Source organism: Homo sapiens, chromosome 14 (assembly GCF_000001405.40).
Source record: "Homo sapiens chromosome 14, GRCh38.p14 Primary Assembly".
Taxonomy (NCBI): Eukaryota; Metazoa; Chordata; class Mammalia; order Primates; family Hominidae; genus Homo; species Homo sapiens.
In genome coordinates, this window is record NC_000014.9 from 68,590,582 (window position 1) to 68,604,762 (window position 14,181).

The 14,181-nt window shown below is 47.7% G+C and overlaps 1 protein-coding gene across 6 annotated transcripts in view, besides 1 other annotated feature; it reads left to right on the forward strand.

Moving 5' to 3' along the window:
* Window positions 1-14,181, forward strand: part of RAD51B (RAD51 paralog B) — an 863,318-nt gene that overhangs the window by 770,803 nt on the left and 78,334 nt on the right. The window contains exon 11 of one of the 6 annotated variants that reach the window (NM_001321809.2): window positions 12,082-12,122. The exons of 3 other annotated variants lie outside the window; for them this stretch is intronic. In NM_001321809.2, coding sequence (NP_001308738.1) covers window positions 12,082-12,089 — 8 coding nt within the window. In that variant the 3' untranslated portion in view covers window positions 12,090-12,122. Of the gene's footprint in view, window positions 1-3,903; window positions 5,470-12,081; window positions 13,143-14,181 lie in introns of those variants that run through there. 2 more of the 6 variants (NM_001321810.2, NM_133509.5) reach the window with 2 other exon arrangements.
* Window positions 9,788-9,957: an enhancer, noted in NCBI's record as "experimental_36364 CRE fragment used in MPRA reporter constructs". NCBI's record gives its function as "activates a minimal promoter by MPRAs in K562 erythroleukemia cells, with activity observed for the non-introgressed 14:69067171 variant allele {active_cell/tissue: K562}" and the evidence as "EXISTENCE:reporter gene assay evidence [ECO:0000049][PMID:34662402]".

Here is a 14,181-nt window from a genome sequence, read left to right on the forward strand (position 1 = left end):
TAAGCCTGAGGACTGGAACTGAACTTCTCACTGCAGGTATAAATAAATCTACCTGGAATCTTAAATGTTGATACCACCTGGCTGCCTTACCTGAAGTTAGACCCATTACCCACAAGAGGCCATCTAACCTCAAATTCTCTGTGTCTCTGCAGCCCTTCTTCCTAGGAGGGCAATGATGCCGAATCACCTGTTATGGCATTTTCATAATTCAGCTAACCATTCACTACTCTATCTGCCCATGATCCACCCAATGCTGACCATGGGTGGCGGGGCAGAGTGGCCTCTCTAGAATGTCTCCTCTTTAACACCCTCACCATGGAGGGGCCTTTATAGATGGCCCCATGAAGTTCTCACTAGGCGACTGCTCCTACCTGAGATGGGCCAGGCAGCCATGGACCCCTCCCCTCCCCTCCGGTTCCTGCCCTGCCCAACCTCATTCTGATGGTTTGGCCTTGTGCATCTCACTAGTGACTCTTTTCTTCCCTCCTTCCTATTTAAACAAATTAAAACTCCAGTTTTTCTTCATTTATGTTTTGGTGGCTGAGGTGGAGCATCTTTTCCCCAGTGGGTTAAGAGAGGCTGGTTGGAGAAGACAGCAACAGGAGAGTGAGTTGGGTCCCCAGTGGCATAGTGACATACACAGGGACAGTGGGAAATGGAAGCTGGAAGAAGTCCCAGAAGTAGGAGCAAGAAGAGTGACTGTCCTCCATGCTGGGTTCTGCCAGGGACTCTGGATGCGCTGAACAACAGCCATCCTAGAGATTTGAGGACACCTCTTCTGTTTGCTTTACTCATCACAGATTCATGAATAAAGACAAACAGGGGAGCCACCTCATTGGCTTTTCCATCTCTAAATAAATCCCTTCTGAATACACACCCCCAATGTGGATGCTATGGATGCTTCTCAAGAAACAACCATATGATGCTATGATAATCGATATCCTTCCAATGACTCAAATCAAATCAACTTGAGGAGCCTGATGGGTCTGATGCTCTTCTTCCCTGGGCCTCTGCACCTTTCCAGAGCCAGGCCCCCTGTGTGTGTGTGGCCGGTGGCGTGGGGGAGTTGCTTCTTTTCATTTTTGTGAGTGAAAATGAAAGGGTTCCCCACAACCAGCTGCAACAAGGATCTCTCACCCTGTTGCTAAGGAGTGGTGGGGTCCTGCTACCATGTGGTGCTCTGGCAGGCCTGGGGAGATCTTTAGGGATCTGGAGCAGCCACTGGATGTGCAGTCCTGAGCCCCTGGGATGTGGAAGTGATTGGCCGGCCACCTGGATGGGCCTCACAGTCCTACTGTCACTCCTCTTCTCTCCTTTCACTTCTGGATCCTGCTAGAGAAATGGAGCCCGGGGAAACTGTCTCACCACCTAGGACTGTGTGGAGCTGGGCACACACTCAGGAGGCAGGTGACTTCCAGGTAGTCAAAGAGAAGCTCACACTCCCTGTCCTCTGATAGTCCTACTCCCTGAAGGATCTGGTCAAGCCATTCCTTCCAGATGGCCGTGATACTGTGTCCCCTCAGTATTAGGAGGGGGGGAATTGATGCTTTCCATGAATGAAAGCTCCTAAACCCCCTCCCCCGCAGCTAGGGCTGATGGGGAATGGCTAAACCCCAGATGTCTTCATTGCACCATAAATGTGAGCAGGGAGGTACAAAGGGGTAGGCAATGATGTGTGTGTGTGTGTGTGTGTGTGTGTGTGTGTATGTGTGTGTATCAAAGAGAGGAGTCTGTCACAGGAAAAATACTGAGTGGCCCCAAATGTTGTAAGCGTATGCACCCCAGTTTTACAATAATAACAATCATAATACTAATAATTTTGCTATCATTTGTTGAGATCTTTTTCTGGGCCAGGTACGGTACTTTGCACATATTATCTCATAATTCTCAAAATCTCTGTGAGGTACAAGTATCACTATGCAACTTTTCAAATGAGAAAGCGAGCATGGAAAAAAAGTTGGTTCAATTGCCAAAGATCATAGATCTGAGAAGTGGCAGGGCCAGGATTAGAATGCTAGAGCTCAAAGTTCTTCTGCCACGTATCATAGAAGCGACCACTACATCGATAATGGTAACTGCCAACCCTCACTGTTCACTGGCCACATGCCAGACACATAGATTCACTTAATTCATTCTTACAAAACTCTGGATGTATTCTTATTGCCTCATTGTATAGATGAGGAAACTGAGGCACAGAGCATTTTGGCATTGATTCCCTTCGGCAAATGTGATTTGAACAGCTCCTATGTGTGTGCAGGGCACCGTGCTCTTGGCTCTGCGTGGGATATGGGACTGAGTGATACGTCATTCTTATGGTCTGAGATCAGGAAGGTCCATGGCCATGGCCATCAGAATGGGCTCAGGGTGGGATTCCAGAACTTGAAATGAGGGACCTTGCATCCTAGGGTATGCTAGAAAGTGGAACATACCAGGTCTCTAGAGAAGGAACCTAGGCACAGAAGCAAGACAGAGTCCTGTTGTCAGACTGAGGCACCAGGTCAGAACTGGGCCAGCAGCAAGGGCTGGCGGAACTGGAACTGATTTATTCCCGCCTGCAGCATGGCCTCGAGGGCAGGGCTCCAGAGCTAGGCTGCTAAGTTCAGATCTTCCATTCTTTAGCTGTGAGACCGTGGGCAAGTTAATGAACCTCTCTGGGTTTCAGTAGCCTCGTCTAGAAAACAGGAATCATAACTGCCCACCTCATGGAATTGTTCTAAGGACTAAATGAGTTAATATGTGAGAGGCTCTTGGAACAGGGCCAGGCCCATGATGGGCTCTCTGGTGGGCTCTCAAGCTCTCGCCAGCCGATGATCATTGGGCCCTTTGATGCTGAGTGGGCAGAAGCTGCAGGTAGGGGACAAGTTGTCCCAGTGGCAAACAGAAGAAAATTGTAGTAGGAACTGATTAGGGCCTGTCTCTGTAGGTGGTTTGATGGGGAGGGAGAGATGAAATCCAATGGGACAAGAGGGAATTCACATCATTAGTATAAAAGGTTGGCAAATGGGCATGGGACCCTTCCTTCTTAGTCTCCAGAGGCCAAGATGCAGGTGCCTGGCACCTGGGCTGGCTGAAAGTGGGGAATGTATCAGGGCTGGCATTTATAGTGATGCCACTATTGTCTAATTATGGGCACAAAGAGAGGCTCCCACTGTCTGTGCAGCCCCTCAAATCACCCAGGGAAGAAATATTGGTCTATTCCCAGCATTCCCTCTGTCAACTCCCCAACCTCAGTCTCTGGCTTGGAAGAAAGACGGCTGGGAAGGGGGATGGAAGGCAGCCATGCTCTGTTGCAGTAAATCTTTCCTAGAAGAGGAGACAGCTGAGCTCATCAGCCAGTGTCGGATCAGCTCAGAAAGAATCCTTTCCAACTCCCAGAAGACCCCTCAGCGGCTTGGGAAAGGAATGGCTCACTGGGGCACTTTGTTTGTGTATGTGGGCCTGTCAGGCTGGGCAGGGGTGTCTGATGACACATTAGGACAGCTGAAAAGAGAGGTGGGACAAAAATGTTTGCCCAAGGGCAGTCTTGTGATTCCCCCACCCCCCGTGCTCCCCACCCCCACACGCCTTTGAGAGCTTGTTCCAGGACTTTTCATATGCATTTGAGACCACAATTTCCTCTCCCAGAAACCCCATTAAGCTATGAGTGAGTGAGGCGGTGGGGGAGAGAGAGAGGAAAAGGAAAAGAGAGACAGAGCAAGAGAGAGAGTTTGTGTGTGCACACACGAATACTTCTTCCCCACCCGCATTCTTTTGCACATGTCTACCGTTATGTACATTCCTATGCCATACCCCTTGAACTCTCCATCAGGTCTTCCTCAACCATCCTCTTCAGGAAGCCTCAGGGCCTCAGAGAAAGGCAAAAGGGCCTAGACTTTGACTTCCTTTTTTTTCTCTCTCTCTTAGAGACAACATTTTGCTCTGTCACCCAAGCTGAACTGAACTGGGCTCCAGAAATCCTCCCACCTCAGCCTCCTGAGCAGCTAGGACTACAGATGTGCCACCATACCCAGCTAATTTTTTAATTTTTTGTAGAGGTGGGGTCTCATTATGTTGCCCAAGCTGATCTCAAACTCCTGGCTTCAAGAGATCCACCCACCTCAGCCTCCCAAAGCGCTAGGATTACAAGTATGAGACTTTGCCATTCCAATGAGAATTTTGTCCTTAGCAATCTCATCCAATGGCCACTGGAGATGTGTGTAGGGCCACAAGAATGAGAAAGGGGGCAATGGAGTGACAGGTGACCTGCTCAGGTGCCCCTCCCCAGACCAAATGTCCCAGGCACACAGCCCATGCCCTCCACCATGGAGTACATTTTCTCCCTGGCTTGCTGCTGAGCTAAAGGACCAGGGACGTGGAAACAGGAGGTGAACTAAGGCACCCCGCCACCCACTGTGGCAGCTTGAATTTCTTGAGGCTGAGACAAACTAGGATCCAGTAGCCTAGATTTTGCCCCAGTTTCTCCACTGAGTATTTACTCAGTGCTCCTGAGCCGATGCCTTCCCCTCTGCCTAGATGAACCACAGCATTTTGGTAAATGCCTCAGCATGTTAGGAGCGCTGGAACGTTTATTCTCTTCCCTCCCAATTATCCACTCTAATGGAGCAGAACACTTACATGGAAAATCCTAAACATGGAAGATGATTTAAAAATGATTCACCCTGGAATACATGCTTCCAGTTGCTTCTACAGGTTTACCTTGCTAAAGGCATTTCGCTTCCTTTGCTGTTACAATAAGCTTGCCTGCCTTGAAGAAAAGAAGACCAGGGCCAAAGGGAAATCAGTCAAGGGAGCCTGTTTTGTCTGAAATAATGCATCCATGAACAAATGAATTGAGTATAACTGTCTTTTTACATCAGTGTTTCTGTGGAATTAAGAGAACATCCAAGGCCACTCCTAGCTTGAGTAGATTAAATTTGTCCTTGTGTTTGGAGCAAGGGTTGTGAAGTCTGTCTGGCCCATCAAATGACCAATGGCTTTTAAGGAAGGACTAAGTGACTTATGACCAGAACAAGGGAGCAGCCTGAGTCAGTCTCCCCAATGTCTACATTGTGTTATTTATACTAGCAAAAAAATAGACACAACTAAATGTTCGACCATATGGTATTGGTTAAATTAACATCTATACGATGGAATACTAGATGGTCATTAAAATTATGTGTCAGAAGAAGGCTTAATCTCATGGGAAAGTGTTCACACCATATTATTAAAGAGAAAAAACAGATTATAAAGCAATATGCATACAATGTAGTAGTTCTGTAAGAAAAAAGTATTATGTGCATTTTAACTGGAAAAATATGTATAAAAATGTTAACAGTGCAATCTCTGGGCAATAAGATTATACTTGACTTTTATTTCTTTTTTGGAATTGTCTTTTTTTTTTTTTTTTCAAGTTTCCTCCCATTAACATGCATGTTCCCAAAATCAGGGGAAAAATACATTAAGAAAAAAAGATTATCTGAGAGACCAGCAGATGTGTTTCCTGTTTCTTATCCCATGTCTATTCTCCATTTTATATTGGAGATTCAAATTCTTCAGCCCTTTCCACAACAGACACTTCTGGGGCAAGAGGCACAGAATATCTGATATCCTAAACAACACCACCAGGGTGAATTTCTCACTGACAGTAACAGCTTTGGAAAGGTTTTGTTTCTACCTGGCGCTGGGAATTAATCGTACCCAAACTTTTTTTTTTCTAATCAGTAATGAGCATCTCCAAGGGGGTCCTAGAAGGGTTCCAGGGGTTCATGGAGGACAATTATAAACCTTGACAGCTGCTCGGTGGGTTTTCAACCATGGGGGTGATTCATCCCTTCTCGTAAGCCTTTTCATAGCACCCTACGCTCAGAGTTTTGAAAATGTGACAAAAAAGAAAGGGGCTGGGGAGAACAATGGCCCTTCTCCTTTTATGGAAGGATGATGAAGGGAATTGGGAAGAGCAAAACTAAGGGACTAAGACAATTCAGCTTTTTTTTGTCTGGCTCATAGGACCGTGTTCCCCATAGAGTAATGCCCAATGAGTGGACGAAGGGAGTAATAAATGAGTTCATAGAAGGAAACAGCTGGGCTGCTGTAAAAGCTCCTGCAAAACAGATAGGCCTGGCACACGCCATTTCTGTCACAGGTTTTAAAGAACCTATCTAGCTTTCAGCTACTCCTCATCACCATCTCCTACAGAAGCAGAGTCAAGATCATGTCTCTTCCCATCGTAAGGAAACAGCACTGCGAATGTTCCAGCTGTCCTGAAGTCACTAATCCCGTCAGGGGCAGACATTGGCAACACACCCAGAAGGTGGTGGGGAGTGCAGCTGTCCTCCTGGCCGACTGTTCCAGCCGGTCACCTCTGCTGCTCCAAGGGTGCCACGTTACCTAATTCTGGTTCACGGTGAGATGGCGGCTTTTCTCGGCCAGCTTGTCCTTAGAAAATTCGTTCCCTTGTTGTATTGGAAAATTCCTCTTGTGCCTGTCATTGCACACATCAGGAGACCAAGGTTTCCATTTTCTCAGAAGAAATTAGCCAGCTACTGTCATTGACATGAAGCCTGTTCCTGGAATTTTTTACTCCTCCTCTTAAAGGCATATTCTGGAAGAGGCAATCTGAGAATGGGGCCCGTGCTCTCCTACAGCAGAGAAATAAACTGAGGCTAGGCCAGGAGCTGTGCACCGTCTGGGGGAACCATACCCAGTGGGGAGTGGCCAGATCAGTCCCAACACTGAAATTGTTTACTGTCATCCACTCCTGGTTGTTAGGGGACATTGAGGATGACAGGATAGAGAGTAGGGAAGGAAGGACCAGCCAAGGAACATTTTCCCTATAAAATGAGACTCCCACCCTACTCCTGCCCTTGTTAAGACTTCATACACTATGGAATACTATGCAGCCATAAAAAGAACAAGATCGTGTCTCTTGTAGGAACATGGTTGGAGCTGGAGGCCATTATCCTTAAGAAACTAATGCAAGAACAGAAAACCAAATACCACATGTTCTTACTTGTAAGTGGGAGTTAAATGGTAAGAACTTATGAACACAAAGAAGGAAACATCAAACACTAGGGTCTACTCATGGGTGGAGGGAGAAGAGGAGGGAGAGGAGCAGAAAAGATAACTATTGGGTACTGGGCTTAATACCTGGGTGATGAAATACTCTGTTCAGCAAACCCCTGTAACACAAGTTTACCTATGTAACAAACCTTCACATGTACCCTCCAAACCTAAAATACAAGTTAAAAAAAAAAAAAAGGACACAGATGTAAATTGACCCTGATGGAGAGAACTCTACTCTATCCTTGCCAGGTCACAAGAAGGTGAGATATTTACTTTTCAAATGATTGATGCTGAAATGGAAAGGACTGTATCTCGGGGGCACAAACCCAACAGAGTAAATGAAGATCCTACTGCTTCAGCTCCTGGGATTTGTTAAAGTGGGGACCAGCTTAGAAAAATAGACGGCCGTCCTAGAGACCCATGGCAGTCTCGGTCTGATTTTAAATCTAAATTCTCAAGTACAAGTAGCTTCCCAAGAAGAGAAAGCTACTTCTACATAAAGAGGTGGTATCAGTAGGAACTCCTTAAGCCTTACCTTTTTATTATTGATGATGATGAAGTGAAGCTTCCTGTTGATATCATTGTCAGACCAAGCACAGCACACCAACTCAAACCTCATTCATTCATTCATTCATTCATGTGTCCTTTTAACAGACGTCTACTAGACACCTTGTGTGTCCATGAACCAAATACCATGCTTAAGACCAAGGATTCAGAAATGTGTTAGCTGTCATTCCCCCTCCAGGAACTCTCAGCCAGGAGGAGATGTACTCAGGGAAAAGGAGAAATCACAGTATAACCATTGTAAAATCCTTTCTGATAAAATCGCAGAGTGTCTAATACTCCTGTTCCACATACATAAAAAGAAACTAAAGTGTAGAGAAGGGAGGAAAGTCCCGAATTTAGTGTGTAGCAGATCCAGGAGTAAAACAAGCATTCCTCGGTCTGGGGTAAATCCCACCGGGACTGTGTTGAGACCCAAATTCCTCTGAGTCCACGGGCCCCTTCAAGTCAGATGAAATTCCAAACAAGCCAGAGCCTAGCTGAACAGTTCCACGGTGCCGGGCTCCAGTGTGTTCTGGAAGGTTCTCGTGGGCTGTGCCTCCAGAAGACGGAGGCGGGGAGGAGCCCCACAGGCCCAGGGCAGTGTCAGGTTCCCCCTTTTCTGTCAGCAGGCATGGAAGAGCCTTTAAGAAAATGGAGTATTATTATTATTTGTTTGTTTTTACAGTGACTCAGTCTGTAGTAACTGGGTTAAAGTCCGCTTTGAGAAAAGGAGAACAAAAGACCTCCTGTTAGTGCTGGAAGTTTGCCTCTTAAGATATCACTGAGAGGAACTGGGAAGAAAAAAAATCCCCAGCAGGGCAGAGGAAGCTGCAGGCCTTCAGGAACACAGCAGCACTTTGGAAAGGAAAACACGGCCGACTTTCATCTCCTGCGCCGTATCTGAGCTGGCCGCTCCCTTTGCCGCTGCTTTATGGCCCACTGCGGTGCTGACCGTCGGACATCGGCCAGTACCCTATTCCCACACTCTTTGAACACAGGGGGCTGCCAGGAGTGGTGGTAGTGTGGGCATATCTCCATAGCCAACCAACCCCAGGCTGAGGAGGAGGGAAAGGATGTTGCCATACGAAACATACTACGTGCTGGACGTTATTCTAACATTACATATCATAACTCATTTCGTAAACACCAAGGAGGCTAGCATCCTCCTTCTCCAGCCACAGCAGAAGTTGCGCAAGGTGGAAATCTGGCCCTGCCCTGTTTAGGAAACTCATTGCAAGTAGAGGAACCGTGGGGTGAGTAGGCTCCCAAATGGGTAGGACCAGATTGCTAGGTGGTCTCTTCCAGGTTGCAGACTCAGGCCATCTGACTCTAAGACCTAAGAACTTAATCCTACTCTCTTCAAATGAAAACAGAAAGTCAGAGGAAGACAAGAAAGTTTTTCTTCTCACGACCTCCCATCAGATCCGCCCCATCTACATTAAACTTGTACCCGTGTCCTTCATCAATCAGCTCAGTGGAAATGTTATTCTCACCCTTGGCCACCCAGATCAGGAAATCGGTCTGGACCATGAGTGACATGCTGGTGTTGGCCTTCTTCACCATAACTATAAGAAGCTGGAATGTTCCCCTCCAAGGCTATGAAAGAAGGATGGAGACAAGAAGGAAAAGACAGAAATTCTGTGAAAGTCTCAGGTCCTTCCTCCTTTCGGAACCACTTCACATAATCCTCTTCCTCCCCAGGGGCTCCCGAAAGATTAGGCTTCACTTGCAGGTCCCAGGCCCTGGTCCTGCAGAGTGGTTGGGCCTTTGGGGTCTCTCAGAGAGCCTAATCATTCTGTTTTCTGAACAAGTCATAGTTTTGCTGACTTCTGACCAAACCCCCATCGAAACCCAAGAGTGGAAGTGTGATTGTGGTCATCTATACCCTGTCCCCCTACAGGACTCCCTGTCCCACGGGATGCAGCAGGCAGGTGTGGGAAAGCCTACCTGATGGCCGAGATCATTAAGCAGCGGCCCTCTGATTTTCTGTACAGCTACTCAGTGACTTGGAAGGGATTCTTTGCACTAACAAGCAGTGCCTCCACAAACAATGAGTTGAGGGGAAAGACTCAAAAGAGGCCGATACAATGCTGTTTGGGATGTTTCTCCCTTTGGCTGGCCTCAGGGGACTGGGCCCGTCATGTAATCACTGGAGATTTAGGGCCTAATTAAACTCTGGCATTGGGCCAGCATGCTGGTGGCCCCTTGAGTTTCCCATGTCCACCCATGTCTAGGGTATTAAACTCTAGACTGGGAGTGTGTACTGCTTAACTGATCCCACAGGAGCCAGCCCTCATTATCCAACAGGCTGGGTATTGGCAGCCCACAGGGCTCGGCATTGGCAGGTGCAGTCCTGGGGAGGACTGCATGCCTTTAGGTTAACGGTCCCTACATCAGCACCCGCTGGGGCCACAGTAGAGGGCTTTGTGGATCACCTCTGCCATTGGGACCCCTGGCATTTCCTTCCTTTCATGGCCTGATAAAACCCAAGCTCTGAGAGTTAGCAAACTGATACCCTTTAATCATGCCTTATATTTATAAAGGCCTTTGTCCAGAGAACTCCAAGTGCTCAAAAATGTCAATTAATTCACTCTCCCAGCCTCCTTTAGGGAAAAGCTGGTGGCAGGTGTCATCATCATCACCAGAGGTGGCCAAATCATCTTCTTAGTGGGCTGTCCTGGATATTCTTTGTGTTTAAAGAGCATTTTGCTTCTGAGCACATGGTTGGGTTTTGCACAGCCTGAAGCATAAGAATTGAGGTATTTCCTTACTTTACAGCTCTAGAGAATTCTTGTGTGTGGGTACCCGTGAAACACAAACTGAGTGCATGCTTTCTTGAGTTTGGAAATTTTGTTATTGTTTGGTCTCAGCATTTGCTGGTAGTAAATAAGTAAGCAGAAGTAAGCTGCTTAAGTTCCCATGTAGTCCAAGACAGAGCAGACAAAAGACCTGATCCCCAAGCCCCACACCTGGCCCCAAGATCCCTCTGGGATTATCTTGCGGCCACTCTCTGAAGCCTTGGACCCTGTAGTTGATCTCATAGCCACGTCTCACCAGTAACTTTTTTTTTGGTGGGGGGGTGGGTCCTGGCAAGAGATGGGTGATGTAGGAATGGCCTAGCTGCAGAAGGAGGACAGCCAGGTAGGACATCTGCCTGGCTCACCTCCTTCCTGGCCACAGACTAGCTTTGTGACCTTGGTTGGCAGCGTCATTTTCATGTCGGCTATAGTTTCCATGCCTATAAACAGAATGATGATACCTGCCACCAACTTTTCCCTAAAGGGGGCTGGGAGAGTGCATTAATTAATGTTTTTGAGCACTTGGAGTTCTTTGGAGAAAGGCCTTTATAAATATAAGGCATGATTAAAGGATATCAGTTTGCTAACTCTCAGAGGAAGTACTTAATGGGATCAGGCCTGCATATGTTGATGACTGAGTTTCATTCTTCATTCAGATCTGCACAGGGCTCCCATCACTCAGCTCTGCCGCCATTCATGTAGTATTCTTCTGTTCTTTCATTTCTATATACTCATAGTAGGGGGCCCACAAATGCTGCCCTCCACATGCAGGCCCACTACCTCCCCTCCCTCTTGTCAAACCCAATGGCTTTTCCTCACTCTGCATTTTCCTTGTCCTTTCTGGAACATGACACTGGTCACTACCCCTCCTCACCCTTGAAAGTCTTATTCTGTCATTCCCACAAGCCCAACAGGTCTAAACTGAAGTCATCATTGACCCCAAACCAATTCCCATCATTACTGCCCTATTTCTCTTCACCATTCTCATGGGCCTGGATTCCAGGTCTTCCTCTCCACTGCCACCCCCTCTGTGCAAGCCTTATTGTCCCAACCTGCTTGGTCCTTTGAAAAGCCCATCCCTGGGCAGAAATGGGATGTGTATGTCCCTAAACTGCCCCCAAAGACCTCTCTGCACTGTATTTGACCTCTGGCCCTCCTGTTCCCTAACTGGCCTTGGTCTCCTGCTCCCTTCCGTGGGCCGCTCCAGCTCTTCCCACCATGTGACCTGCCTTCCTGCTTGTCCACCTTCCTGTCTGGTCCCCAGACTCAGTTTCTACTCTCCCTCCCAGCAAGCTGGGACACACAAACATAGACATATGTTATGTTCACACAAACATAGACATATGTTCACATACCCCTCCCAGCATCCTGACTGGCCCAGCTGACCTCCCTCACCCACTCTGAATAACCAGCTCTCCCTCCTCCTGCCTTTGTCCAGTCCCATCTCTATTACTCAGGGCTCTCCAGAGAAACAGAACCAACAGGGTTGGATGCGGATAGATGGGTGGGTGGGTGGATGGATGATGGATGGATGGATAGCTAGATAGATAGCTAGCTAGATAGATAGATAGATAGATAGATAATACATGATAGGTTGATATTAGATGATAGAAAAGCAAATAGAGTTTAAGAAATTGGTTTATGCAATTGTGGAGGCTGGCAAATCTGAAATCTGACCTCAGTCTCTTCTCTTAAGGCCTTTGACTGATTGGACAAGGCCCACCCACGTTGCGGAAGGTAATTTGATTACTCAAAGTCTACTGATGGAAATGTTAATGTCATCTAAAGAATACCTTCACAGCAACACCTAGCCTAATATTTGACGAGATATCCGGGTACTATGACCTAGGCAAGTCAACACATAACATTACCCATCATGCTTTTCATCTGGTCAGCAGTGCTCGTATAAATCTCCTGAAACATTGCTCTCACCACAATGCTTCCCTGCTCCAAAACCTAAACACCCATATGCCTGACATGCAATAGGGACAGGTACATATTTGTTGAGTGAATAAATAATGAGGAGCCTTTGGGATGGGCTACACTCTGCTCAATGCAGCAAACCATTTTGAGGGCCTAATGTCTGGAGCTGAGGATATGACTATCAAAGCTGCCCTTACGTGTTCCTCTCCTCTCCCTCTAGTGTCTCAAGGCCAGAGTCCGAACCTCAGACATCTCTAATCCCCCATAGTACCCAATGGAGTGCCTTATATGGATTAGGCCCTCAATCACTTGTGGGTTAATTTTATTCTCTTTATTGATCCCTATATCAAATTTACCTGAAATATTATAGGTTTTTAGGGCGTCACTTATGAAATCATAAACTGTAGTGCCAAATCTGCTTCCACTTTTGTTTTTAAGGCACACATGCAAAGAGCTATTTCCACAATCAGGAAGGGTGGAAATAGCTCAGAACACTGACAGTGGTCTGTAGGGATGGGTGGCTTCTATGGGATTTTTTATACTTTTCTGTGTCTTCCAAATTGTCCTCTGTGACCACGTGTTGCTTTTACAACCATAAAACATGTTATCTGTTTTTTTCATTTATCTTTTCGATTTGGGGGTCTGTTCTCAGCTCTTTTTTGGGGTCCCCATCATGCCTCCTGGCTTCCTTTTGAAAATAAGGCAACCCGAGACTTCCTTGTAAAAGTCTGTGAGGTCATAAAAGGCCAAGTTAACTGCAAATGGTTGTTCTGTTTTAATTCTGTTGAAGTGTCAGGTAACATGGACTTATAATAAAAGCACTTGGGGAGTTAATGATTACTGCTGTTGTCAAGCTGTCCCAAAGACAGAGAGGGAGCCTGCACACGCCGCGTCTCGCCTTGGGCCGCTCCTTCAGTGTATCCAGCCCTGCGGCCGCGCTGGCCCCCTGTCCGCATGCTGTCAGGCTACCTCCGTGCCAGACGACCAACACCCAGCCACAGTGGAAATGACTGTTCCTTCAACTTTCTTCAGCCCCTGCCTGCTGGGGTCTCCGGAGGGAAGCGTTCACTCTAGCCCAAATGAAACAGAGCTCCAGAAAAACCACAGTGGAGGCCACAGCGGCCTCAGGCCCTGAACTTTGTATTTCTTAGCCCGCCAGGATTGCTGGCTGCTGGGTGTCATGTAACTCCCAAAAATGTGAAGGGAAAACCAAAGAGCCTGAGAAGCGCAGACGTCTCCTGGCTGGGGAGTCCGTCTAGAAAGTCGCCTTTCATGGTGAGGCCAGGTGCACGCGAGAGTGGCTGGAGAAGGTGGGGTGAGCCCAGAACAGGGAGGCCCGGCCCACTCCCAGGCTGAAACTCCGAGAAACTCCCCCTGCACAAGGCCACGCCAATGAAGTCCCCTTCCTTCTGGAAAGGGTCCTACACAAATTGCTAGGGTTTCCAGTGTGATATTTGACAAGTGCAAAGGGCTGGAAATATTCTAGAGATTTTTCAGCTTCGTACAATTATCGGTGGCCACTGAGCCCATCTCACCTCCTGTGGTGTCCCGCCAGTGGCTGCACCAGCCAGGCGGGGCTGCCTTTTGTCCCTGATCCTGTCAGCCCTCCAGTAAAGTGTGCTTAACCAGGTGCCCCAGGAGAGCAGGGGGCCAGCTCCATGTCCTCATGGGTGTGCAGCCCCTCAGCCCTTCCTCGGCCCTGCCCATTAACAGCTGTGACCGCAGAAAATGCCCCAGCGGCAGCGCCATGGTCCCCAGGGCTGCCCTCCTGCCTCCCTCTAAGTCATCGAAGGTCAAGGTTGGAGAAATCTTAGTGCCCATGGGCCCTCCTCCTCACTGAGGAGCAGAGCACTGGCTCAGGCTCACTGAGGAC